Genomic DNA, 26,477 nt, shown 5'->3' with positions numbered 1-26,477 from the left:
AACACTAGGAGCAGGAGACAGGGAGAATTTCATTCATTCCACAATTTCTGCTGAGAGCCTACTGGGTTCCAGGCTGTGCTCTGGGGGGATGGGGAAGGTTCACCTGGAATCAAGAAGGACTTGTCCCTGTCTCAAGGAGCTTAACTCATGTCTGGTCCTGGGCCCAAGACACAGCCCAAGAGCCCCCAGTCTTCATGACAGGACTGCACAAATCCCACCCTTTAGGAATGCTCATGATAGGGAGATGCCTCCTAAACTTCAGGTCCTCAGTGCGGCAAAGGCGGCAACTCACACAGCCCAAGTGGGGTAGTACTTAAGTGTCCCCAAAGTGTGGTCCCTGGGCCACTAGCATCAGCATCACCTGGAAACTTGTGAGAAATGCAAATTCTTGGAGCTTACCCCTGATATATTGTAGCAGAAGCTCTAGGTCCACCAATCTGCATTTTAAGAAGCCTCTCCCAGCCAGGCATGGTGGCTCACGCCTATAATCCCAGCACTCTGGGAGGCCGAGGCAGGCAGATCACCTGAGGTCGGGAGTTCGAGACCAGCCTGACCAACATGGAGAAACCCCGTCTCTACTAAAAATACAAGATTAGCCAGGTGTGGTGGCACATGTCTGTAATCCCAGCTACTCGGGGAGCCTGAGGCAGGAGAATCACTTGAACCCAGGAGGCGGAGGTTGCAGTGAGCCGAGATTGCACCATTGCACTCCAGCCTGGGCAACAAGAGTGAAACTCTGTCTCAAAAAAAAAAAAAAAAAAAAAAGCCTCTCTCTTCACCCCACCCTAGGAGGTGCTCCCTAAAACCATGGGCTTTGAAGAAGACAGCCCTAGGTTGGTGGCCTGACTGTGTAGTGGCCAGAATCATTCTGCCAGCTAGAGGAATCTCCGCCAACTTCAGTTTCCTGGCCTGTAAAATGGTGATAATAGCACGATTTTGCATTGTTTGAAGGATGATATGCGATATGGTTTGAATTTGTGTCTCTGCCCGAATCTCCTGTTGAATTGTAATCTCCAGTGTTGGAAGACAGGCCTGGTGGGCAGGTGCTTGGATCATGGGGATGAATTTCCCCCTTGCTGTTCTCGTGATAGTGAGTGAGCTCTCACGAGATCTGGTGGTTTAAAAGCGCGTAGCGCCGTCCCCTTGGCTCTCTTCCTCCTTCTCCGGCCATGTAAGACTGTGCCTGCTTCCCCTTTGCCTTCTGCCATGACTGTAAGTTTCCTGAGGCTTCCCCAGCCGTGCTTACTGTAGGGCCTGCAGAACTGTGAGTCAATTAAACCTCTTTTCTTTAGAAATGACCCAGTCTCAGGTAGTTCTTGATAGCAATGCAAGAACGGACTAATACAATGTGAGACATGAGGATTGAGCATCTGGCACGTAAGTACTCAAAACTGGGTGGCAATTGTTGGTATCTTGAGACTTCTGAGCTCTGCCTGCCTGGGGTTTCCAGCCAGCATCCTCCTCTGAGCTAGGCTGACCCCACTGTCTGGGTTAGGTGGAACTAAGGCTTCTGGGACCGGAAACTGTCACTGCTGAAACCAGAAAAGTCCCAAGCAAATTGGGATAAGTGGGTCATCCGACTCTGAGAGAGCAGCTCCCTCCCTGATGGCAAATGCATCTGACAGCAATACCTTAAGCCTACCCCGAGAATGACCTTGTATGGCAGATGCGCCTGAACGTGTGTCCTGAGCTAGGGAATCTGGGAGTGGTCATCCCAGAGATTCATTCCTTGTCTCTGAGGAACATCTGAGCCCCCATCCTGTCCCATGGAACACAGGCTATACAGGGGATGGAGGTCCCAAGTGTGGGTTGAATGAAGGTTGCCAGGCAGAGGTTGTTAAGGGGAGGGTGCCAAGTGAAAACGCTGTATAAGCTGCACGCCTTCAGCAAGTTGTTGCGGCTCCCCTGCCCAGCACACCACTGCTGGGCTCTCTCCACTGTATGTAAGCCCCCAGTAAAACCCTGTGTCTCATTTGCTGGCTCTGGGTCCCTTCTTTGGCCGCTTGAACCTGGTGCCATCCCCACTGGAGTCGACAGGGGTTCGGCACACTTCCCACCCCTAGACCCGTAGCAGCATGTAAGCATACACAGCTGAATTATTCGGTAGATGCAAAAGTTCGAGAGGCTTTTCCTTTCTGGAAAACAGCTCTGTACCACAGCCACCAAAATGTCATGTCACAGTTTCCCCATCAGCAGAGAAGCAAATTGTTCTAATCTATATCTGTCGCAGCAGCTAAGCCTGCTTATAATGAAGCATTATCCAAGCACTTGCTGGAGAAGGCAATTCTGACGGCTGGTGATTTAAACCACCTCCGTTAAGCTCCAACAAACAGAAACCCATAAAGAGGGATTTCACTAATTCACTGTAATGACCCGGAGACCCACCTGAATGCACCACATTATCAAAGGGACAAGAAAGATAATTATGAAAAGAAGAAGCTGGTAGGGATATAAATTTATCGGACCAGCCTCATACTTGCAGAGCAAGTTACAATGTAACCCAATGCCATGGGACTTTGCTGTGGTCTGTTGGTGGACAGGTAGAGAATCCAGAAAGAGCAGAGGAGGTGGGTTCCTAAACACCCCCTAGCCTCCCATCCTCCTTTCTCTGCCTTGGGGAGAAAATGGATAGAGGAAGGGGGTTGGAGTCTTCACCAGAGGCCAGATGAGTGTTCACCAGAGGCCAGATGAGTGTTCACAAAGTGCAGCCCCTAGGCCAGGAGCAGCAGCACCACGGAACACATAAATCCTCAGACCCCTGGCCCAGACCTTCTGAGTCAGTAACTCTGGGGCTGGGCCCAACAGCTTAACAGGCTCTCCAGGAGGTTCTCGGGCTCACTCAAGTTTGAGAACCACTTGCCTGGGTCAGTGGGCCCCCCAGCTACTCTTGTTCAACAAAATGAACAGCTGCTCCAGAATCCCCCAGTTGCTTTAATTACTGATTCCATCCAAGACCTGGGTGAGAGTGTCCTCCTTGTACCTGTGGACACATGGGCCAGGCTGGCATCCCTGGAGAGGAGGGGACTATTCCTCCAGCCCTTTTCCAACAGGTGGGCTGGAGGTGTGAGAAGCTGCCAGCATGTCCAGTCTTGCACAGTACTTCTGTAAACATTAACCAAAGAAGCAACCAGGCCCAAGACGAAATCCCAAAGGCCTCAAAAGCAGCCACAAAGTGATCTCTGTCCAGGGAGGAGGAGGTGGATGCCCATCCTGGGGTGAACATACCTGTTTTCCACTGCAGAGGAGGCTCACAGTGTGACCTGGAAATGTGGGAGGCTGGGGTGGGAAGGAGACAGGTAAATTTAGGTGAGTGAGTCTTAAAGCGGGGGCTATTTTGCATGAAACTCCTCTCCTCCTGGTTCCTCCCCAGGACTGATACAGCAGAGCATGAGAGGCAGCGGGGGGATTTAGGGACCTCTTTCTGGGTTCTCTACCTGCGGCTGACTGTCCACCAACAGACTACAGCAAACTCCTCATGGCATTGAGTTAACCTGTAACTTGCTGTTCAAGTACATTGCTGGCAATATCTGGAGATTTTTTTTTTTTTTTTTTTTTGAGACGAAGCCTCACTCTTGTTGCCCAGGCTGGAGTGCAATGGCACGATCCCGGCTCACTGCAACCTCCACCGCCTGGATTCAAGCGATTTTTCTGCCTCCGCCTCCTGAGTAGCTGGGATTGCAGGCACCTGCCACCGCACCCAGAGAATTTTTGTATTTTTGGTAGAGACAGGGGTTTCACCATGTTGGCCAGGCTGGTCTTGAACTCTTGAACTCAGGCGATACGCCCGCCTTGGCCTCCCAGAGTGTTAGGATGACAGGCGTGAGCCATCGTGCCTGGCCTGGAGATATTTTTGGTTGTTATAATTGTGGGGAGAGGAAAGGGAATGCCACTGGCATCTGGTAGGCGGAGGCCAGGGATACTGCTAAACATGCTACAGTGTGCAGGGCAGCCCCACGCAACAGAGAAGTATCTGGCCCCAGTGCCAATAGCACTGCAGTTGAGAAAGCCTGATTTAGGTAAAGTATTCATTTTAGAGAACCCTTAGGTGCTCTTCAGGGTTTATTGCCAGATTTTGACTTAACCTTTATTCACTCTTAACCAATATTTATTGAATGCCTACTGTCTCCCAGGCACCATGTTGGTATTACAAGCCTTGACTCATTTTATCCTGAGAACAGAGGTCAAAACCCCGAGGGATGTGGCCTACGGGTGTGTTTTGTTTGGCTTGAACAGTGTTTTTTGTTTTTCATCCTTTTAAACAAATCTGGGATGAGTTATACACATTTAAAACTCAGGAGATTTCCTACAAAGTCCGGGCTTCCAGCTTTTATGGAAAACTGAGACCGGTCTGGCCGCCCCGGGCCTACATTCTCAGATGGAGCCAGCTGACTGGGGCTGGGTGGCCACTGCCTCCTTCAGGGACCCCATTGTCTCCCACGGGCCCCAACACGCCCCAGGGAGCTGGATCAACTGCCACTTATTGCTACCCTTGCCACCATACCTGGCACCTGCAGGCATCTGAGCTTATTACCTCTGCCTCATTTAAGGTTCCAAATTTCAGGCCCCACAATGTGTCCCAAACCTACACCTGTGACCCTTTGTTCATCCAGCCTCTTTCCCTCACTTTCCAATTCCTACTGGACCTCTCCAGAGAAGAATTTTTTCACAGATCCATGAATGGACTTGTTTCTGAACCACCCTCCAAAGGAGAAATGACCACAAACACCTATGACCTCAACAGCAGCATCAGCACAATCTCCCTGTTTATCTGTCCACTTCCCCTGCAAGACGGTAAGTTTCATATGGTCAGGAACTCAGTTATTTATCCCGGAGTCAGCAGAATTTCTCCAGCTTGACATATTACATTTAGGCCAGCTTTCTTGGGCACTGCAGTATGAGTAGCAGCATCCTTGGACTCCACCTGCCAGATGCCAGTGGCACCCCCCTCTCTCCCAGCTGTGACAACCAAAAATGTCCCCAATTGCCATGGGGGCGGGGTAGCAAAATCTCCCCAACTTGAAAATCATTAAACTGGTGTGTATGGCCTGGCACATAAGCATGAAATGTTTTCTGGATGCGTGGATGGGTGGATGAATGGATGGATGGATTAACGGATGGGTGGATGAATGAATGGGTGCATGGATAGGTAGATGGATGGGTGGGTGGATGGATGGGTGGGTGGGTGGGTGGATGGGTGGATGGATGGGTGGGTGGATGGGTGGATGAGTGGGTGCATGAGTGGATGGGTGGGTGAGTAGATAGGTGGATGAGTGGGTGGGTGGATGGGTGAATAGGTGGATGGGGGAGAGTAGATAGGTACATGGGTGGGTGGATAGGTAGATAGGTGGATAGGTGGATGGGCGGGTGGGTGGGTGGATGGATAGGCAGATGGGTGGGTGGGTGGTCGAATGAACCAACACATAAATATATGATGCTGAGACAGAGAAACAGGAGGAGGAAGAAGGTAGAAAAAATTCCAAGCTGCAGTCAAGTGAAAAATAATGAAGAATGAAGATAATATGATGACTCTGAAATGGCAATTTTAAATGAAAGCAAATTGGGTAAAAATATCACACAACTTTTCAGGGATGCCTCCAGTTGTTTAAAGTGAAGAGCACTTGTCACAGATTTATAACAGGATCAAAATTACATGCCTGGGCTAAGTCCTTGCAAACATAAAGATGCAGTGTCCTGAACAGAATTTGTCTTCTGCTGCTTAGCTTGTTTTGTTTTTGATTTTTCATTCCTGAAGGTGGCCCTCACATATGGCCTGGTGATCTGCCCTGTACAGACCTCATTTCAGTACCAAAATGTCCTGTTCTGTAGGAATTAATTTAAAGCAAAAGAAGGTAAAATTTGAAAAACTACAAACTGCTCAATGATTTTCCCCTTACAGGGACTATTTCCATCCCAAAAGGATTGTGTGGGATCATGGGTATCATTCGAACTACCTGTCTATTATGTGAAGAAGTTAGAAGGCGAGTAGGAAGCTTCCAGATTGAGCCACATTGGCCATTTAATCACAGCAGACTAAGACGCATTAACCAGCCATAAAAACTTCATGAGCTACATTATGCTTTGTCTTTTCTTCTAATGCTAGAGCTCACACGGTTCATCTTAGACCCTGCAGTTATTCTCGTGGGGGGAAAAAAGCCCCAGTCAAAATTTTGGAAAATAAATCCAGTCAAATGTTGTTCTTTTCAACAATGCTTCCATAGAATGAAACCCTCAAGACTGAGTCAATGGTTTTGTACCAGGTGATTCCTGCTTGTAGAAACATTCGTAGTTCCAGGGTCCACTATGGGGCTAAACTCTGACCTCTAATGATTCACAAATAACCTCCCCAACCTGGTAGGAAAAGTTAAGAGGAGACAGGGTGACCTCTCACATATTATCCACTATTCCTCTGATCCCTGCTAAATACCAGGGAAGACAGATGTCAAAGTTAAAGAAAACCTCCCCAATCATTACAGGCAAACTGACAAGAAACTCACAGGTATAGAGATCCCCCACTCACCCCTCCATCCTCAGAATGGAGAAGGCTATATGACTTCCTGCCATCAAAATAAGTCTAAATATTTCTCCTAAACACTGGAGCTAGTGAAAATCACATTCCATTTTCAACAATGGCTTCTTTCTCTCAAAGGCTCACAGAGCCAAGCATGGCAAGTTGAAAATGAGATGAGGAATTACCAGGAAGTGTTTGTGCTCTAATTGCAATGCCTAATTTGGTCATTTAGAGAGCAAACGATTTTATCTTAATGATGCTCTTGGGTTGAATATGTGTTGAATGAGCTTGAGTGACTTTCTCCGAATTCTTGAGATTCATGGAGTTTTAGGAAAGTCACTGCGGAGGTAGGTTCTCCTCTCCCTCTACCACACTTTCTTGCTCTATATGCATGGGTAGCATTTGGGAAAGTCAGTATTCAATTTGTTTTCTCCTTGATTTCCTAAACCACTTGCTTCCAACCTGGGGAGCCATGGACCCCATCAGGCCCTTGGTGTTAATTACATGGTCCAGAAACCCAGAAAAGCACCAAGCACTACCCTACCTATAGGTAGTGTTTCTAAATGCAATAGAAACATGTGCATGGTTTTCAATGCATCAGGAACCTGCTGACTAATAAAATGCAGATTTATGTAAAGCAATATTGAATTATCATAGCCTCCATGTTAGTTGGATTTTTCTTAGTCAAAAGATACTGAAAGTAGATCTACATTCTCATATACAGTATCAGAAAACCCTTCTGTTGGCTCTTGGTCCCATTGTGTCTTTTTTGTTTATCTGTTTGTTTTTGAGACAGGGTTTCACTCTATCCCCCAGGCTGGAGTGTGGAGTGCAGTGGCACGAACATGGCTCACTGCAGGTTCAACTCCTGGGCCCAGGCCATCCTCCTGCCTCAGTCTCCTGAGTAGCTGGGACAACTGCCTGGCTAATTTTTTAATTTTTAGTAGAGGTGAGGTCTTGCTATATTGTCCAGGCTGGTCTTGAATTCCTGGGCTCAAGCAATCCTTCCAGCTTGGGTTGCCAAAGTGCTGGGATTACAGGTGTGAGTCATGGTGCCCAGCCGTAAGTCTTTAATATGTATTTGGTTTAATGTTTCTTGTAAATTTTTAATATGTATTTGACATAATTTTATATGACTGAGCATGGCCCACAAAACCTGCTGGCCTACTTCCTTCCACATACCCACACCCATAAATACAGTAACTTCTGTCAATTACTTGCTGTGTGACTATGGGAAAATTACTAAACTTCTCTGGGCTTTAGTTTCCTTATCAGCAAAAAAAAAAAAAAAAAAAAAAAAAAGATGGGTGGAGGGGGAAAGATACCAGCACCCACTGTCACAGGACAGTTAAGAAGACTAAATGAGGTAGAATTTAGGTGCCAAGCCCTGTACCTGGCTTTTCTATAAATGGTGTCTCCCTAACCTTTACTTTCTTCCCTCTAATGTCATTCCACCAACGCACACTACATTACAAAGTATAAATAAAAAATAATTAGGTACCAAATATTCTTGGATTAATGGGATCATGATAATTATTAAAATAAGATGATGTTGGAGTGAGGTTTCTGGTTTTTCTCTCCATCTCAGCTTATCACAGTTCACGCTGCATTTTTTCCCCTAACTCTGAGCTCTAAACCACACACTGGGAGGCATTCCTAATTGACAGGCTTTGTTGGTCGCCTTGACATTTGGTCTGTTTCAAAGCAGATACTGCTTAAAGCTGTGTGTCTGGAAATGTACCAGCAGGCAAACCCTCAGACCTTCTTTCGGCTGCATGTGTTTATATACATCCTTGGTCACTGTAATGAGTAAAATGTGAACGTGGCCTATGACAATGGATCAATCAGGCTTTGAGGTGTAACGTGAACCGTTAGCCATTTTCCCAAGACCAACGACTCTGGAGAACACTGCCTGGGTTAAAACTTCACCTCTACTGGTTACCTGCTGTGTGACGATCCACAAGTCACTTAACCTCTCTGTGCTTAATTCCCCATCAGTAAAATGCAAACAACAATAGTGCCTCCCTCAACCCTAAAATATAAGTCAACAAATAGTCCTGGCATAAAGCAAGTTCTCTATCAATGGTATGTGGATTCGGCCTTCTGGAAGGATGTGAATCAGAGCTCCTTAGCCATCAATCCTTGGGAAGAGAACAAATCTTTACTCAGCTAAAAAATTCAGGGCCTGGCCACCACCAGGGCATTAATGTGGTGCCTGCACCAGGGCAACCAACCAGTCTCTGGTCTTCCATGCTGAGATCCAGTGGCAAACAAATCAGGGCACACTTCATTGTTCCAAGTGGTTTGGGAAATCATCCTGTAAAATCCAAATATGTGGACAGAGCTGATGAGTTCATTCAAATTCCTTTGCTGCCAGCTTAAAAGAACTGGGTGCACCAAACTGCCTATATTTAATGTGAAGATGTAAATGCAGTTGTCTAACCTAGGGCAGAACGTCTCATGCCCCAAAGACTCCAGTGACCATAGCCATTTGCAGCTCACCCAGGGGAGGGGCTGGTTCCCAATGGGACATGACCCAAAACACACAAACTACATTAGTGAGCACTATTATTTTTCCACTTTTACAGCAGGGACTCCCAATCTCTAACTCCTTTAAGTATTCACGGAAGGAACCACCCCTTGAAGCAAAGGTTCTATCCTTGTGTCTAATGGTCAACTTGGAAGTTGCTCCTAAGTCAAGTGTCCAAGTTCCAATCCCTCCTTATTACAACTCCAAGGAGAAACGTCAAGCCCAGCCTCTCTGCAGCTCTAGTTTTCCTGCCAACAATCTCATCTAAGGGACAGAGAGGAGGGGACAAGTCTGTTTTTTCCTTTAGATCAGCTAAAATCAGATGTCCTACCATTGCATAAGTTAAAAAAAAACACTTGTGGTTATTGATCAAAGAATCGATGCTCACTAAATGTCACTATTGAACATTCTGTTTTCAAATGTTTCTCATTTAGTTTCCAAGTAAGATTTCCTTTAAAAAATGTGTTCCATTATAAATTAATAATAGCACATTCCCAGCATGAAACATACAAGAAAGTTGATGGGGATAAACAGTCTCTATTCCCATGCCCAGAGTTAATCACTGTCAATAGTTTGCTGTGTTCCCTTCTCCCTGTAATTTTGTGTGCAATTTCTTGGTTGCGATCTTTACATAAATGTGATCATTCTGTCCAGACAACCTTCCTACCCTGCTTTCTTTACTTGGGCTTTTTGGCTTAAGCATATTTTCTGTGCTTCTGTGATGAGAGTTAAACTGAAAAAGTTCCTAAGGAAAAGTTCCTTCTTAACTTAGTTCAACAGTGGAGAGAAGGGAATGACCCTGACCTTGGCTGGGATAGTTGGGCAACAGAGGAAACAGAAAGGTCAGCTGGGAAGGACCTTGGCAGATCAGGAAGAGACAGGAAACGAATGGAGAATGATCACACCACCCTTTCTGTTAAGATTCCCTCTCTAGGTCCAACCATCTCGTTCCTGCAGAGTTGACCTTTAGGGGGTTAAGGTGCGGGAGAAATCACAAATTGGTGAACCCCAGAATATACCTAGATTACAGATTTGTTCTTTTCAGTCTGAATTTATTGCAGCATTTACAAAGTAGAAGGGGTCAAATAAAGATTCCGGTTAAGAGTTGCATTGAAAACATAAAATTTGCCAATACCAGGCCCCGATTCCCACACGGTAACAATTATGTAGATGACAGAAGGCACTTCAGTCTCCAGAGTGGGCCCAGGCTCTCTACCTGACTGCAGCCTGTTCTATCATTTACTTACCAGCCCAGAGTCTGCAACCCTCTGTCCTAAAGTAACCCCTGATCTTCCCCTGATGTTAAGATGATCCAGGAAACTCCACTACTGGTCCTTCTGTAACAATTGACTGGTCCTTCTGTAACTCAGCCTCCTAAAACACCTTTGGAATAGGCAAAGCTCTTTAGAAATAAAGATATGAACTACTCCACAATCTTTATCCTGGGCTAGAAAGTGTGTGAAGCAGAAAATTTAGCAAGACAGCAAAGGTGGTCTAGCGTGATGGAAGGCGTGTGGGTTTTGATTTCTTTTCATTACTTTTACATAATTCTGCAATTGGCTGCGGGCTGTTTTGACCATTATATTTTCATGCAACGGAAAAACTGCGCCCCGGGGTATGATTATTAAAATATGTTACTCTTCCATATTTAAATAGTGGAATGGCTTTTCTGAGCTCTAAAATGAGCCAAGGGAAATACCCAGGGTTTAAGATGTAAGTAAAATGTCGGCCTATTGTTGGAACCAATAACTGCCTGGACTCGGTCTTCCTCTGCCAAGTCATGAGTATGGGGTAACATGGGTGTGGAGAGAGGATATGGAGAAGGTAAGGGCTTCCCCCATCCACGTGCTGGAGCAGAAGCTCCTTTGCACAGGCTCACATGCCCTGGGGAACCCTGTCCTCAGGCATCTCAGCTTACACCGTGCTAATTCTTTGGCAGTTGTCACAAAGAGGCAAGGGAGAGAGACAGAAAGCAAAGGGGTCTCTGAGAAAGGAAACAACTAATGGGAAATTATTTAGTTGTAAATAATTGAAACATACTCAGACTAGCCAGTGATTCTCAACCAGTGACGCCTTGTTCCTATGGACATGGAGCCATGTCTGGAGACATTTTTGTTTCTCATAACTGCAGGCTGGGGGACACTGCTGACATCTGGTGGGTAGAGGCCAGGGATGCTATAAGCCCCCTACAAGGCATAGGACAGCCCCACAATAGAGAATCATCCAGCTGCAAATGTCAGCAGTGCCAGGGTTTGAGAAACCCTGCCATAGCCCAACAAAGGGGATACCTTGGTAAATGAGGTACAGATGATTATCCAGTTACCCCCAGCTTCCCTCACTATCACCATGCTTCTTTTCTGCCATAGTAATCATTTATTTGTTTTGTTCTGTTTTTGAGACAGTCTTGTTCTGTTGCCCAGGCTAGAGGGCAGTGGCACAACCATGGCTCAACTGCAGCTTTGACCTCCTAGACTCAAGTGATCCTCCTGCCTCAGCCTCCCAAAGTATTGGGATTACAGGCATGAGCCACGATACCCAGCCTAGGAACAGAGCTTTTTATGGTAAAGCTGATGTTTTTTGAGATGTATAAATCCATGAATTTAACAATGTATAGATTCACGTAACCTGCACTCAGTCAGGATATGGCCGGGGTCTATCACCCAAAGCACTCCCTGGACTGTCCCTTTATAGCCAGAACCCCCACTCCCCACCCCAACCCCTACCCTCTAGTGATCTTTTCTTATCAACTGGAGTTTTGTCTTATTAAGAATGCCATATACATGGAACCACAGACTATGTGACCTTTTGGGACTGTTTCTTTCTCTCAGCATAATGCTTTTGAGATTCAGCCACATTGTTTCATGTATCAATAATCCACTCCTTTTGAACATACCTCAAAATAATAAGAGCCATCTATGACAAATCCACAGCCAACATCATACTGAGAGGGCAAAAGCTGGAAGCATTCCCCTTGAAAACTGGCACAAGACAAGGATGCCCTCTCTCACCACTCCTACTCAACGTAGTATTGGAAGTCCTAGCCAAAGCAATCGGGCAAGAGAAAGAAATAAAGGGCATCCAAATAGGAAGAGAGGAAGTCAAACTACCCCTGTTGGCAGACGACATGATTCTGTATCTAGAAAACACCATAGTCTTGGCCCAAAAGTTCCTTCAGTTGATAAACAACTTCAGCAAAGTTTCAGGATACAAAATCAATGTACAAAAATTACTAGCATTCATATACACCAACAATAGCCAAGGCAAGAGCCAAATCAGGAAGGCCAGGGAGGTGACAGATCTCTAGAATGAGAATTACAAAACACTGCTCAAAGAAATCAGAGAAGACACAACTAATGGAAAACTATCCCCTGTTTATGGATAGGAAGAGTTAATATCATTAAAATGTCCATACTGCCCAAAGCAATTTACAGATTCAATGCTGTTCCTATCAAACTACCACCAACATTCTTCATAGAACTAGAAAAAACTATTTTAGAATTCATATGGAACCAAAAAAGAACCCAAATAGCCAAGGCAACTTCAAGCAAAAAGAACAAAGCTGGAGGCATCATGTTACCTGACTTCAAACTATACTACAAGGCTACAGTAACCAAAACAGCATGGTACTGGTACAAAAACAGGTACACAGACCAATGGAACAGAATAGAGAGCCCAGAAATAAGGCTGCACACCCAAGACCACCCAATCTTCAACAAAACTAACAAAAGTAATGGGGAAAAGACTCCCGATTCAATAAATGGTGCTGGGGTAACTGGCATATGACTATATGCAGAAGATTGAAATTGGACCCCTTCCTTACACCATATACACAAATTAACTGAAGACAGATTAAAGACTTACATGTAAAATCCACAACTATAAAAATCCTGAAAGACAACTTAGGCAACACCATTCTAGACAAAAGAACAGGCAACGATTTCACGACAAAGACACCAAAAGCAATCACAACAAAAGCAAAAATTGACAAATGGGATTTAATTAAAGAGCTTCTGCACAGCAAAAGAAACTATCAACAGGGTAAACAGACAACCTATAGAATGGGAGAAAATATTTGCAAACCATGCATCTGATAAAGGTCTAATGTCCAGCATCTATAAGGAACTTAAACAAATTTACAAGAGAAGGCCCGGCACGGTGGCTCACACTTGTAATCCCAGCACTTTGGGAGGCCAAGGCAGGCGGATCACGAGCTCAGGAGATCAAGACCATCCTAGCTAACATGGTGAAACCCCGTCTCTACTAAAAATACAAAAAATTAGCTGGGTGTGGTGGCAGGCGCCTGTAGTCCCAGCTACTCGGGAGGCTGAGGCAGGAGCATGGCGTGAACCTGGTAGGCGGAGCTTGCAGTGAGCCGAGATCACACCACAGCACTCCAGCCTGGGTGACAGAGCGAGACTCAGTCTCAAAAAAAGAAGAAAAAAAAAAAAACAAATTTACAAGAGAAAAACAGACAATTCTATTAAAAAGTGGGCAGGCGGGCGTGGTGGCTCATGCCTGTAATCCCAGCATTTTGGGAGGCTGAGGCAGGTGGATCACCTCAGGTCAGGAGTTCAAGACCAGCCTGGCCAACATGGTGAAACCCCATCTCTAATAAAAATACAAAAAGTAGCTGGGCGTGGTGGTGGGCACCTGTAATCCCAGCTACTTGGGAGGCTGAGATGGGAGAATTGCTTGAACCCGAGAGGTGGAGGTTGCAGTGAGCGGAGATTGCGCCACTGCACTCCAGCCAGGGCAACAAAGAGCAAAACTCCATCTCAAAAAAAAAAAAAAAAAAAAAAAAAGTGGGCAAAGGACATGAATAGACATTTTTCAAAAGAAGACACACATGTGGCCAAGAAGAATATGAAAAAAAAGCTCAATATCACTGAGCATTAGAGAAATGCAAATTAAAATCTTAATGAGATACCATCTCATACTGGTCAGAATGGCTATTTATTAAAAAGTAAAAATATAACAGATGCTGATGAGGTTGCAGAGAAAAGGGAACTCTTATACACTGCTGTTGAGAGTGTAAAATTAGTTCAACCATTGTGGAAAGTGGTATGTCAATTCCTCAGAGAGCTAAAAGTAGAACTACTGTTCAACCCAGCAATCCTACTGGGTATATACCCAGAGGAATATAAATCATTCTACCATAAAGATACATGCACGCAAATGTTCACTGCAGAACTATTCACAATAGCAAAAGACATGGAATCAAACTAAATGCCCATCATTGACAGACTGGATAAAGAAAATGTGGTACATAAACATCATGGAATACTATGCAGCCATAAAAAACGAGATCATGTCTTTTGCAGGAACATAGATAGAGCTGGAGGCCATTATCCTTAGCAAACTAATGCAGGAACAGGAAACTGAATACCACATGTTCTCACTTATAAGTCAGGGCTAAATGATAAGAACACATAGACACAAAGAAGGGAAAAACAGACAATGGGGTCTACTTGAAGGTGGAGGGTGGGAGGAGGGAGAGGAGCAGAAAGGATAACTATTGGGTGGGCTTAATACCGAGGTGATGAAATAACCTGTAAGGCAACTCCCCCTCGTTGTGACACAAGTTTACCTATATACCAAACCTTCACATGTACCTCTGAACCTAAAATAAAAGTTAAAAAAAATCCATTCCTTTTTATTGTGGAGTCATGGTTCATCTGTTCATTTGCTGAAGAATGTTTGGGTTGTTTCCAGTTTGGGGTTATTATGCACAGAGCTGCTAAAAACATTCACAACATACAGGTTGTTGTGTGAACACAGGGGTTTATGTACCCGGGAATGCAGCTGCTGAGTCACATGGTGGATAGATGTTTCACTTTATAAGACAGTGCCAAATCTCTTCCAGAGTGGCTGCACCAATTTATGTTCCTATAAAAGATCCAGTAGCTCTGTATCCTCATCAGCACTTAGTATTGTCTGTCTTTTTCATTTAGGCCATTTTTTTTAAACCCTTATATTTTTGTTTTTAAACTGACAATAATCGTTCTTTTTCAGGGGATACAGTGGTATTTTTATACATATAATGTATCAGATCAGAATAATTAGCATATCAATCATCTCAAATATTTATCGTTTCTTTGTCTTGGGAACATTCAATATCTTCCTTCTAGCTATTTGAAACTGTATCATATATTATTGTAAACTATAGTTATCCTACAGTGGCATAGAACACTAGAACTTATTTCTCCTATTTACCTGTATCCTTTAACACATCTCTCCCTATCTATCCCTTTCCCCAACCCCTCCAGCCTCCAGTATCCTCTGTTCCACTTTTTACTTCTATGAGATCAGCTTTTTAAAGCTTCCACACATGAGTGAGCACATGCCGTGTTAACTTGATGGGTGTTGGTATCTCACTATGGTTATTTATTTATTTATTTATTTTTTGAGATGGAGTCTCACTCTGTCACCCAGGCTGGAGTGCAGTGGCGTGATCTCAGCTCACTGCAACCTCCGCCTCCCGGGTTCAAGCAATTCTCCTGCCTCAGCCTGCCAAGTAGGTGGGACTACAGGCACGCGCCACCACGCCTGGCTAATTTTTTTGTATTTTTAGTAGAGACGGGGTTTCACCGTGTTAGCCAGGATGGTCTCGATCTCCCGAGCTTGTCATCTGCCCGCCTTGGCCTCCCAAAGTGCTGGGATTACAGGCTTAAGCCACCATGCCTGGCCTCACTGTGGTTTTAATTTGCATTTCCCTCATAGCTAATGATGTTGGGCATCTTTTCGAGCTTCTTTGTCATCCATATATCCTCTTCTGCAAAGTATCCTCTTGAGTTCATGTCTTTTGCCAATTTTTAAAATGGACTTGTCTTCTTGATGTCTGAGTTTGAGAATTCTTTATATATTCTGGATACATATCCTATGTCACGTACGTGACTTGCAAATATTTCTCCCCAGTTTGTAGCTTGTTGCTTCATTCTCTTACCAGTGTTTCTTGCAGAGAAGAAGTTTTTAATTTTGATGAAGTCCAATTTAATAAATGTTGTTGGTCATGAGTTGTGCTTTTGGTGTCGTGTCCAAGTGTAATGGAACTTTCAAGTGGCTCATGGCCACACCTCGCCTTTCTCGTAACGAAGGGTGGTATGTGACCAAGTTTTCTGGTCAATAGACTGAACAGGGTGTTGTGTTCCAGAAATCCTCCTGAAATTTTGGTTGGTAGACTTTCCCTGGCTGCTTCTTCTAGTCTCTTCCATTTTGTTTTTGGGGGTGGGGTGGTGACAGCTGGAGCACCACCTTGAGGCACAGAGATGCAGGCCACACCGCAGGCATGGTCTGGTGGGGAGACGGAAGTCATCGTGTGCTTGAGGGCTTGTGGAGCCGAGCCTCATGCCAATCCTGCATGGCCTGCTACTGGCTTTTAGGGGAAGAATAAGAAACTTCCATTTTACTTAGACTACTGTTATTTTTTATTTTCCATCATCCTGGGCCAAATCTAGACCAACTGGATGCAGGGATATCTCATGAAACTCATCTAGGTGTCATGTAGACCATGGGAGCTAAACTGATCATCTGAGGCTTTTGCCTGGCCAGTCTACCTCCTTATTTTGATAACATCAAAATATTCCTCCTGATCCTGGTATTCCCACCTCCCTATATTGCTGGGATAAAATCATATGGTTTGAGAGAGGCTGACTCTACTTCTTAGCTCCATGACCCAGCCTGACCAATCAGATTTACAGTGGAATTGCTTCAATGTTCTGCAAATGAATGACCCAGGACTTCTGCTGGGACTGTTGGGAATGATGCCCTGTGGTTCATCTGGGGATACGCATTCATGGTTACCAGCAGTCATTTTGCCACTGAAGAAAGGGCCTGCCCAAGAATACAGCCAGCTCAAAGAAGAGCAGAGCCAAGAGGTGCACAGGGATGTGCTGGTGGAAGTGCAAGAGACTCTGATCAGGGACGTGGGAGGTCAGCAAGCCTTTCCAAACAGAGAGGCGCTGAATCTGAGACCTGAAGCAAGAAGAGGAGTTAAGCTGCTAAAGGGGTCAGAGGTGAGGGGATGGACAGTGAAGGCAAAGAGTTATCCAGGCAGAACAAATGGCATGTGCAAAGTCCCAGGGGCAGGCTGACTGCCAGGGAGGAGTAGCTAGAGCCCAGGTTGCACCTTCTAGTTTGGATTGTGCTTTGCAAGGAAAGGGTGGGATCCCTACCAAGTTGCAGCTCTCTGGGTTCTTGCTAAGGACCCTGCAGAGTGCTGGATGAGTACTTCTGGAAAGAACTAAGACAGGAAGTTACTAAGCATGGAGGGAGGTGACACTGGAAACCCAGGATAGAAACCAAGTATAGCCAATCTCTCCAATGCCTGTCCCCTGCTAATGGCTACAGTTAGGGACCTGAATACCCACTGCCCTGGGACCACAGGCTGCCCTGGACCCTGTGCAATCATGAAAAGACAGGAACATGTTAGAGGCCCTATATGGAGTGATGAAAATTCAACTTCTTGCCTCCTCCATGGCAACAGAATGGAGGCTTATTCCACCTGCAATGGAATCAATAGTATCAGAGCATATTCCAGCAGGTCCCAGACGGTTGAAACCTGGCACACACAAATTAGGCAGCTCATTAGGCCATGATTTTATTAAGCAGTATCTAATATAGTGAATAATTTTGAGCTTTATTATCTAAAATATAAAGGGGTATTTTTAAACTTAGTTGAGCAGCAGATGGGGTTTTTAAAAATATTGCTGTTTCAGGCCCAACAAACCCAGAGCATTTCTCGAACAACCTTTTGTGGATTTCCAGTTTCCAAGCTGTGCCCATGGTCCTCCCTCTCCACAACCACCTAGCGTTGCTGAGCCACCATCATGCCGCAGGGAGAAGTCCTCAACTGTGGCTGCACACCACCTTCTCTGACCTCTTAGGTACGGGAAAGTGGGGATTACAAATCCTGGGAGTCGGCGAGGTTCACAGCTGCTCGATGGAGACGAGGAGCCCTGCAGGCAGCAGCTGGTGGCCACAGCGGGTGTGCACCTCCCTTCCATGCCCTGGATGGCTAAAAAAATCAAAAGAGATGGGTCTGAGTGTTCAGTAGCCACGAGGATTGATCAACTGCAGTCCATCTACAAGTCTATCCTAGGTGTTGCCTATGGAATTAGGGGAGGAGAAACAGTAGAGATGGTAAAAAAAAAAATTGCTGAAGTTTACAAACAGCTTGTGAGAACAAAGGTCAGAGGACTGAGAAGGGGAGGAAGCCACTCGGCCTCTCCCGTGAACCTTCTAAGCCCGGCTCACCCTACAAATGGCCTCTACTCCATAGGGCATTTATACTGCCTCAAACAGGTCTATGGCCATGGTCCCCACTGTGCCCTATGGGGACAATTTCCAGACATTCAGCACCACAGGGGACATTTGACCACTCAAAGTGTTGATGTTCAACATTAATTTTTAATGTCTCAGAAAACCATTAAGCTGGTTTGTATTCTGCATCGCATTTTTACAGCTGGTCAATTCGTTTCCCGCTTGGAGAGGGCTGGGGACTCTCAGTGGGGATATTGACAGATTTCCCTGCCCTGTTCAAGGTTTAAATGGGAGGTCCAAATGGGAGGTCTCCCCTTCTCACTCTGGCTTCTGTCTGCTGGACTCTCTTGGGCCCAGAGCCCTGACCGAGTGCATCAGCCTCTGGGGTCCATGGATTTGGGGTGGTGTCTGTCCAGCCTTTCTGGCAGGTGGAGCCACACCAAGGGTGCACGGAAGAAAAGACATGAAAGATGCGTTTCAGGGACTGAGGCAACTTCAGGATGGCTGCAGCCCATTGTGTATGGTGGAAGGTAGCACTAGATGATGCCAGAGAGGTAAACTGAGGAAGGGTTGGAGGACAACAGGGAGCCACTGAAGGGTGTTGAGCTGAGAAGTAACAAGCACAGGTCACTGATTTAGAAGATGGGCTGCCGGCTGAGGATTAGCTGGGTGGAAATGGGTGGGATGGGGGACTGCAGAGTGTGGAAGGCAAGAAGCAAGGAGATCAGAGGGGAGGTGCTGCTGTCTGTCCAGGAGACAATTGATGGCGGCCTAGATTGGGAGAGTGGCGGTGAAGATGGAGAAGCGGAAGGAGGCAAGACCCGTTCTAGCGGCACACTCAATCCCATCCTTCAGAGAGGCCCATCTCCCTGCTGCCTGCACAAACATACACGGTCATTTCCCACTGCGGGCAGGGTCTTCCCCTTAGAGTTCTCAACAGGACAACCCTTTTTGTTTTTTTTTTTTTGTTTTTTTTTTGAGACGGAGTCTTGCTCTGTTGCCCAGGCTGGAGTGCCGTGGTGCAATCTCAGCTCGCTGCAACCTCCGCCTCCCAGGTTCAAGCCGTTCTCCTACCTCAGCCTCCCGAGTAGCTGGGATTACAGGCATGAGCCATCACACCCAGCTAATTTTTGTATTTTTAGTAGAGACGGGGTTTCACCATGCTGGCCAGACTGGTCTCAAGCTTCTGACCTCAGGTGATCCGCCCGCCTCGGCCTCCCAAAGTGCTGGGATTACAGGCAAGAGTCACCACGCCCCACCACCCCAGTTATTTTTTGCGCACGTGCACACACGTTGTGGGTTGAATGGTGTCCCCCCCAAATTCATGTCTACAGGGAACCTCAGAATGTGGACGTATTTGGAAACAGGGTCTTTGCAGAGGTGATTCGTTGAGACGAGGCCATCCTGGATGAGGGTGGGCCCTGGTCTAATGACTGGTGTCCCTGTGAGAAGAGGAGAGGACACACGGAGACGAAGACACATAGGGGAGAGCGCCAGGTAAAGACAGAGACAGGGACTAGAGTGATGAGAGTGTGAGCCAAGGACGCCAAGGAATGCTGGCAGCTGCCAGAGACGGGGAGAGAGGTGTGGGATAGTCTCTCCCCCAGACCTCCCAGAATGAGCCAACCCTGCTGGCACCTTGATTTTGGATTTCTGGCCTCCTGGACTGTGAGAGAATAAATCTGTGTTGTTTGAAGCCTCCCAGTTTGTAGCACTTTGTCACAGTAGCCCTCAGAAACTGATAAAATGATAAAATATGCACACACACATATATATGTACATCTATACATATTTTTTTTCTTTTTTTAGGTCCCCACAAGAGCACACACACATATATTTATGCAGGACAGTGGTTCTTAACCCTCACTCCCCATACAATCACCAAAGGAACTTTAAAAATAACACCCGCCCCCACACACACACTCCCACTTCATCCAGGAGTAATTAAACCAGAATCTTTGGTAGCTGGAACCAGACGACTCTACAGAGGGCCAGCCTTGAGAAGAGATTATCTGAGGAGGGTGGTGATCAAAAGGATAGGATCTTTAGTCAAGCCACCTTTGTCCCCACCCTTCTCCACTGTGTGCCCTTGGCAAGTCATGTGACCTTTCCGAGCCTCAGTTTTCCTCATCTGTGGAATGGGGATGATAATCCTACCTGCCCCCTCCCGGCCCCCAGAATTGCTGTGGCACTGAAATAAGTTAATGTAAGCAAAGAACTCAGCTCAGTGCCCGGCATCTAGAAGGCTCTCAGTAAAGTGAACACAAATATTATTGTATTCCTTTGAATACCATGATGTCAACAGTGTGCCTCTGCCCATCATTCCCATTTACATCACCCCTTACACTTTCTGATGAGCTGCTGCACGCGTTTTTCTGGCTCCATTTTCACTGCGCACCTCCCATTACACACCCAAGGTATGGAGGGAGAGAATATGCAACGGCCAACCACAGGAATGAGAAAGTCAGAAAAGGGGCCCTGGGCTCTCTGGGCAGCCTGCATAAACTGTCAGCTCAGATTCCTGGGTAACCATGTCCAGCCCTCCAGAGGTCTCCTTGGAAATTATAGCTTTTAAGGTTTCCTTTGGCTGTGACATGTCTGAACTTCAGGTCGAATTTCCCCTCCAACACATCAGCTTGCATTTGGAGCAGGAGGGTAAGATCACTTTGGTTATTTCCTCTTTTGATTCCCTTTGGTCTTATTTCTCCCCTCCTAAGGAGGATGGTATCTCACAAATTAGCTTCATTCAAAAATCAAATTACCATGCTGTTTAGATTCCCCTTGCTCATGATTAGCCGTAAAGCCAGGGCTGGGATCTGCTGAGGAAAGAACTCGCCTCCTTGCAACTTGGAGCGAGCGTCTCTCACTTCTTTTGTGGCCTCATGCATCAGGCTGCCTCAGTTTCCCTGTCAGGTGGAGGAAATGACGGTCCCTATTTCAAGAGACTGAGGGGTGAATCAAATGATGCCACACAGGTGAGATGTGTCCAGAGCAGTGCTGGGACCCAGTGAGTGTTCCGTGTCAGCCGCTGCTGTCACTGTCATAATTAACACAGTTTTAAGCGACATAGGAGAGGCAGAAATGCTCGATGAACACAAAGAGCCCTCTATCCAAAGGGCTCAAGCATGTCTGTCTATCTCACCTTCCTCTGAGCTGGGGGTCAGACAACACTCTCTCCATCTAGAGGTCACAGAATCCAAGTTATTCTCCACCAGCACCTAGAGAGGGGGACCACTGAGTTTGATTTCAAAGTTACAATTAGGAATTTCAGAGCAGAATGGTAATTTACATCTAGCCCCACCCCCTCACTTGACAGATGAGGAAACTGAAGCCAAGAGACGGAGGTGCCTTGCCCCAAATCACCCCATCTCATAAGCATTAAGGGTTGGAACCAAACCCAGTTGTTCTGGTGGCCAAGCCTGGGCTCTACTGACACCCTCTCTTCAACTCTTTTCCCAGTCCTCCCCGCTTTCAGTTGGAATTGTTTCATTGAGGTTGGTGTTGAAGTGTGGAGGAGGGGAGTAGAGTATATTTTTACTCCATCCTTTACTCAACAGCCGTGATTTTCCATATGCCCACAGACCTGGGTGTAAACAGAAACTGCCAATGGGGTAAAACCAGTCAATGTGTTTAGAACTGATGTGTCATGAGATAGCATGGAATTCAGGGTTTCTGAACCTTGGCACCACTGGCATGCTGGGTAGAGGGCTGGCATGTGCACTGTCTTAGGTGTTTATGGGCCTCCCTGGCCTCCACCCACTGGATATCAGCAGCACCAGATGTGGCCAAATGGCCCCAGTTGAGAACCACTGGTCTAGTTATTTCAGACCAGCTACAACACACAGATCGCTATACCTGAAGCACGCAGCTCTCTTAAGTGCAGGTGGTGTTGCATCTCCAATGATGCCCTGAGAGAACGTGGCAGAGGGAAAGAATTGCTCGGGGCAGCCTAAGAGACATCATCATTGGTAACAGCAGCAGCAGTAGCAGTCATCGTAATCGCGTTAGTACAGAGGTAGAACAGCAGAAGCCAGTCTGGACCTAGAGCCGCGAGGCACCCAACACTGACCCAGGCACTGGACAGGGACCTCCCTGCACCTCTCATAGGGTATGAGGGGACTATCCCGTGCACTGTCACACAGCAATGTCTGGAGACATTTTTGGGTGTCACATCCACGGGCAAGTGCCAGTGATACCCAGTGGGTGGAGACCAGGGATGTTCATAAGCCCCTATGCCAGTGCACAGGACAGTTCCCTACCCCAAATAGGACACTTAGAGCAGGTGAAGGACTAGCCCAACAACGCCCAGTGCTAGGGCACAGCAGCGTGGATGTCCGCATTTCAGAACTGTGCACCTCCCTAATCCATTCCACCACCTCATTGAATTAACAGCAACGCAAAGCTCACGTTCACTGAATACTTAGTCTGCACCAGTACAAACAACTTGGCATTCAACCTAACCCCCTGATGCCCTTCCTGCAACACCTGTGGGGTGGGTACCATTCCCTTCCCCCTCATCATTTTATGGACGGGGAAAATGACATTTGCTGTTTGGGAACTTGTCCAGGTGCATTCAGCCTTTAGAAGGCAAAGCTGAGCTCTACCCTGTGCAGTCACACTTTCAGCCCAATTCCTGAGCCATTTACCTCCGAGACATGTTTTACGTGCATATAATAACTAAGGGCAAATCCTAAAACCCACCCACCCCTGAGTGGATTCCTGCTGAGGAAGAGGTGTTCACTGATTGCAGAAGAAAAACGGACTGTGCATTCTGTGCATTCCTGCCCTGGGAAACTTCTCTGCTGGTCAGCACCTTTTGACCCTCAGGAGCCTCTCCAAAGCCTACCATGAGCTCTCAGAAGGCAACTCAAGTAACAAAGCCAGCCTGTCCAGGAGCCACATAAACAGGATGTTACTGAACGGGTAGGGGAAGCAGCTGAGCTGTCCAGACCCACAGAACGTGGCCGAGAACTCCCCACAGCTGACAAGAGCTGAGCTACTCCATGCTATTGTATTGTTATTCTCTTGAATGATCAGAAATGAGAAGCAATGATGGACCTTATTTGCAGTGCTGCAGGCTTCCAGATGCAGCTAGGTATGTGTAAATAACTGGATATTTACACAACCTCCTGCTAACGTATCATCCATTTTTAAAGACAGATTCTCCGTGTACGGTTATGAAATGAAAATTTTTTAAGACAAAAGAGAAAAATCCTCAGTGATCTTTCAGCTTTTATTGGCCAGGCTTGATAAAAAATGAAGTTGGGAGGTATTTGATACATACTCGTGGGGACAGGGTTCTTGGGGAAGGAATAGTTCAAGTGCCAATATGGTGTAAATGTGGTATTTTGTGCACTAGCTGAATTACGATAAACGGCATCCATTGCCTTATAGATACACACACATAACTCCTTGTGACAGTAATAGGAACTAGGCATGCAAAGAGAGGGAAAAGAATGGGTCCCTCTCTGCAAACCCTATATTTATATTTAACATGATCTCCAGCTCTCTGCAGTTGTTGGACCCTGCTATTGAGACCCTCAAACACAGGTAGGCACCAGGGCACCAGAACAACCCCATTTTGTCAGGTTCTATTGTAAGCAATTGTGGTATTTTTCATCTCTCTCCAAATTGTCAGCCTTTAAATAAATATATATATATAGAGAGAGAGAGAGAGAGTGCGCGCGCAAATGCTGTTTCTACCAGGTGTCGAGCCAGGCTCTCTCTTAACCAATATAATGGGTACTTATTTTCATAATCATGTCCCCAAGGCACTGTAGGAGCCTCAGTATCTTCTGAATCCTCAGAGAGAGGATGGATAATGTTCTGTGAGTCTGAGAGTCGAGGACTGTGTGTCATTCTAATGCTCAGCAGAGTGAATGGCTGTGTAAGTTTCCTATAGGCTGCTGCAACAAATCACCACAAACTTAGCGGCTTCGAGGAACACACATTTATTATCTGACAGTGCTGGAGGTCAGAAGCTGGAAAGTGGGTCTTGGGGGCTAAAATCAAGATGCAGACAGGGCTGTGTTTCTTCTAGAAGCTCTAGGGGAGAATCCAGTTCCTTGCCTTTCCCGGCTTCTAGAGGCACCCACACATTTCTTGGCTCAAGGCCCCTTCTAGCAATGGCATCTCTCTAACCTCTGCTGCTGCTGTCACACGGCCTTCTCTGATTCGGACCCTCTTGCCTTCCTCTTACAAGAACTCTTGTGATGACATTGGGTCCACATCTCAAGATCCTTAACAATCCCATCTGCCATACAAAGTTTTGGGGACTTGAGCCTACCAGTATCTAATAACCAGAAGATCTGACAATATTAAGTGCATTTTGGCCGGGTGCGGTGGCTCACACCTGTAATCCCAGCACTATGGGAGGCCGAGGCAGGTGGATCACTTGAGGTCAGGAGTTCGAGACCAGCCTGGCCAACACAGTGAAACCCTGTATCTACTTAAAATACAAAAATTGGCCAGGCACGATGGCAGGTGCCTGTAATACCAGCTAGTCAGGAGGCTGAGGCAGGGGAATCGCTTGAATCTGGGAGGCGGAAGTTGCAGTGAGCCGAGATGGCGCCACTGCACTTTAGCCTGGGTGACAGAGTGATACTCTGTCTCAAAAAAAAAATAAATAAAGTGCATTTTGTCCTTCCTCCCAAACAGGAGAGTGTCTACAGTGACTCTTCCAATCCTGTACTGGTGACAAATGTATTCAGGTCACGCCACGGTCCACACCTGGCTCAGTGTGGAAGAAGAGCATCAACAGAGGTGGCCAAGGTTAGGGCTGCAGAGGGTACCTGCGGGATGAAATCAAACAAGCGGATTTCTGCCAGGTTTACACTTGCGGTCTCAGTTTCCTTTGTTAGTCCTAGCTGAGAACAGTGCAAGTTCATTTGGAAGAAAGGAGATGATTACCTGTAGCCTTTGGGTGGGCAGGAAAATGAGTAGAATTCCAATGAGTGAATTAAAAAAAAAAAAAAAAAGCCCAAAAGAAAGGATTCTCCTGCTGGGCACTTGTTTAATGTTCTCAGAAAAGTTTAGAACTTCTACCATAAATCTTCAGTGCACTTACTCTTCTCAACACAGACTATTCTTCATTATTTATATGTCACTAATCTAACTTTTACCATAGAAGCGTTTTCTGATGTTGACATGTTGACAGCAGGGTAATTCTTTCCACAGCAGAAGGATTCTTCTCTATACAAAAGGATTCCCATTGAATTCCCTTAAAAACCAACCATGAAAGGGATGTTATGCTTCATACAAAGTTTGCTTTAAAATAAAAACAAGGACCTTTAATGCATTCAAAACATGTTTTGACTGATAAAATTATTGTAAGCATTCCCCTGAGGCTCCAAGCCCGTCCCCACCCCAGAAAGCCTTAGCTCCAGTAAGTGAGGTGTACCTGTACACGATAAGGGGAAAATGAGAATTACAGCAAAGCCCCCCAGAAACCTGGAATTGCAATGAAGGTGTTTCACATAAGCTGTTCCCTTTCCTGCTTTTTAAAAACTTAGCAGTTTGGCAATCATACTTTGGTTTGACAGGGAAGTGTGAAAATGTGTCATTTTGTCTTCTCCAAACTTCTAAATCCAATCAAAATAACATTTATTCAAAGCTGGGGGGTGCTTGCCAGAATTTGTTGTGTGATATTAAGAGAGCTGACCCCAGATGTCTCTCACTGCTTTTTCTTTCTTCTGGTATAAAAACAACACAGAGCTTCAGATACACAACCCCCAAAGGTACATTTCACCCGAGAGCTTCCTCGCCAACACGAGGGGAGCAGCTACCTGGGGATGTTCATCACTTCATTCCCTGGGAAAAATCCCAGCAGCTGAAGGATGAAGGCTCATGTGCTCCCGCCCTCTCTCCAGCATGCAGTGTGATGCGAGAAGCTGCAACGTGCATAATCTAGAGTCACATGTCTCTGCTGTACCGTGGCGGGGCCACCAGCTGGACACCTGAATGTGATCCTCCCAAGGTAGCAGCAGGCCCTGGGGTGAGAGGTAGCAGGATCGGGGCTGGAGGGCCTGGCCTGCGTCTCTACACCACCACTCACCAGCAGTGCCATCTCTTTCCACCTGTGCCACCTTTCTGAGGCTCAGTTTCTCCAGGTGTCATGAATCAGATAGGATTTTGGTTGTGATTGATGGTAATTCCCAGCCCTAGCCTCAGAAAAAGACCGTA

At 46.2% G+C, this 26,477-nt stretch overlaps 1 protein-coding gene across 11 annotated transcripts in view, besides 1 other annotated feature; it reads right to left on the bottom strand.

Moving 5' to 3' along the window:
• The window catches only part of KAZN (kazrin, periplakin interacting protein), a 1,225,220-nt gene that overhangs the window by 460,201 nt on the left and 738,542 nt on the right, over positions 1 to 26,477 (bottom strand). The gene's annotated exons all lie outside the window — the stretch shown is intronic.
• Positions 19,443 to 19,944: an enhancer, noted in NCBI's record as "H3K4me1 hESC enhancer chr1:14964395-14964896 (GRCh37/hg19 assembly coordinates)". NCBI's record gives its function as "activates a minimal SCP1, AML or CMV promoter by ChIP-STARR-seq in naive H9 embryonic stem cells {active_cell/tissue: H9 hESC(naive)}" and the evidence as "EXISTENCE:reporter gene assay evidence [ECO:0000049][PMID:30033119]".

Source organism: Homo sapiens, chromosome 1 (genome assembly GCF_000001405.40).
Source record: "Homo sapiens chromosome 1, GRCh38.p14 Primary Assembly".
Classification (NCBI taxonomy): Eukaryota; Metazoa; Chordata; class Mammalia; order Primates; family Hominidae; genus Homo; species Homo sapiens.
This window is presented reverse-complemented; position numbering and strand designations above follow the sequence as displayed.